The sequence below is a fragment of the Homo sapiens genome, chromosome 13, assembly GCF_000001405.40.
Source record: "Homo sapiens chromosome 13, GRCh38.p14 Primary Assembly".
In the NCBI taxonomy this organism is placed as follows: Eukaryota; Metazoa; Chordata; class Mammalia; order Primates; family Hominidae; genus Homo; species Homo sapiens.
Window position 1 is genome coordinate 18,702,613 of NC_000013.11, and position 2,584 is coordinate 18,705,196.

General features: G+C 40.5%; 1 annotated feature.

The window, feature by feature from the left end:
- Positions 364-564: a silencer, noted in NCBI's record as "peak2058 fragment used in MPRA reporter construct". NCBI's record gives its function as "represses an SCP1 promoter by STARR-seq MPRAs in K562 erythroleukemia cells {active_cell/tissue: K562}" and the evidence as "EXISTENCE:reporter gene assay evidence [ECO:0000049][PMID:32103011]".

Genomic DNA, 2,584 nt, shown 5'->3' on the forward strand with positions numbered 1-2,584 from the left:
AGAGGAAGAGCAAAAGCCTGAACTTGCCATATCAATGACTAACTACAGAGTTATTCATTGGAATAAGATACATAGGATTTGCATCCCAAGAGAGGGCACTGACCCTGTTTGAGAACGATCATTTGGTTAAGAATTGTTTAATTTCCTTCCTTTTTAGAATTTGAAACAACAAAATCTATTAAGCAAAAAGTGGTAAGAGAGCATAAGATGCAGGAGACTTTCTCTGTCCCAAAAGACCTTACAGACTTGTTGAGAAGATTGTATGAATAGGTGAAAATCACCAAACGATGGCATATGTGCTTGGCACAGAGTGGAAAATTGGTTAATATCTGTATGGATTGCTGCTTAGCTAATGAAGTCTGTGGTGTATTTACTAGCCTTAAGTACATAATGGTGACTAAACTATGCTCCACCCTGACAAACCATGAGGCCTGCTCTTCGCACCACTCCCACCTCGGGCCTGTGCAATGAATCCCTGAGCTCCCTGTCCTTAGGAGTCACTGCCCTTTGGTCTTGTGAGGCTTTTCAGACCACACCCCTCCTGCCCTAACCTTCTTCCCTAACCTTCTCACTTAATTGCCGCAATTTTAGTTTGTTTGCCAAAGGAAACGAATCTGTGTGACCGTGAAAGTAAGAAGTAATATGAAGTAATATAAACAAGTGGCATAAAGTGTTGTGATGATTTTGTATTGAGATGAGAAGTTGATCAGCTCGAACACAGAAGGAAGGTAGTGCCCTTAGAGGCAGAAGTATAAATTGATGATCCAGGTCTGTCTCTTCGAAGTGTGCACCCTTGAGCAACTTACCAATTCACAAAACCCAAGTTTCCTCATGTTTGCAGAGAAGGGATCCCAGCTGTGGCACAGGCTTTGTTGGGCCAGTGGGGTGAGCGCAGCTGGAGTGGACAGCCTTAAGTCTATTTTGCATGAACAATGGCTTGTTTGAACAGAAATGCTGGTAGGTCTTTTATTGGCGGTGAGAGAGGGCAATAACAAGTAGAATGTAGGTGACAGTCAATCAATTATTTCAACTCATTGGTGACAGTCTTTTGGGAAATGCAGGTTACATACTGTCAGGCCTCTGAGCCCAAGCTAAGCCATCATATCCCCTGTGACCTGCACTATACATCCAGATGGCCTGAAGCAACTGAAGAGCCACAAAAGAAGTGAAAATAGCCTTAACTGATGACATTCCACCATTGTGATTTGTTTCTGCCCCACCTTAACTGATCCCAAAACCTATAAGAACTAATGATGATCCCACCACCCTTTGCTGACTCCTTTTTTGGACACAGCCTGCCTGCACCCAGGTGAAATAAACAGCCTTGTTGCTCACACAAAGCCTGTTTGGTGGTCTCTTCACATGGACACGCGTGACAAAGGGAAATCGTTCCAGCCTTAGAACTGTGCCTTTCTCTGAGGAGGGAGCCACAAAGTGTTAAGGAGGGCCAGGCAACAGGAGCCTAGGCAAGAAGTTAACACTCCCAGACCTAAGCAATCTAATCCCAATAGCGTTCCGGGAGAGAAGAGCACTAAATACTTCCTCAGCAGAGAACAATTGAGGGTCTCCAATGCCTTTTCCATCTCAGGCAGCCAAGTCTCTGCTTCTGACTCCACTGAAGAGACTGGAGGGGGCATCAAAGAAGAGGAGCTCCAGCCATAAAATCAGAAAAGCATGAAACATTTGGTTGGAGGATGAGAAAGACACATAAAAATTCTTGTTAGCATGCATGTTACCTTTAATGAATATTGATCTCTACCTTTACACGTGCTTATTAGCATGCATATTGGAGTAAAACAAATTGGCAGCCACCAGTTTTCAGGAGAGATCCTGAAAAGTTTCAATTAAGCTAAACACGGCAAGGGAAATAAATGTACATGCATTACTACTAATTTAGTGTGAGAAAAGTCATCGATTGCCTATATTTGGTGTTTATTTTTGCAGTTAAATTTCCTTAATAGAAAAGTATTTGTAGGAGCTTTTAGATGAATATTTCTGACCTTTGTCTTCATTCTATTTTCCCCCTTAAGGTCTTCATTTCCTCAAAAGTGAATTCTTTCACCACAGGAATTTTCCCGATCCTTTCTTACTTCCCTGTATTAGTCAGCCACTTACACAGAAATAATGATATGGAAGGACAAAAAAAGATGAGACAACCCATTTTCCTTTCAGCCCTTCCTTAATCATCTGTAAGCCAAAGACAGAAAGCACTGATAGGATGTGCTGATATCAAGAAGTGAAAAGACAAAACATTGGAGATAATTCAGTGCTAGGTCTCCACTCTTCTGGTTAGAACAAAATACATATGTATCCATGAACTAACAAATACAATTTGTGAAGTTTTAGTGATTCTGCACACAGGTTAAATGTGTTAAATTAAATATTTAATTTAAAATGGGGATTGCACAGTTGATTTGCAATCTAAGATATTCTATCGCTAGTTTATTACTTTGGGCAAGTTATCTAAAAATCTGTGATCCTGTATTCTATCTTTAAAATGAAAGTAATAATATTTACTTTCCAGTGTTGCAGTGTGAATAACTGAAATACTCTAAGTAGTAGTTATTAATCTCAACAATCATTT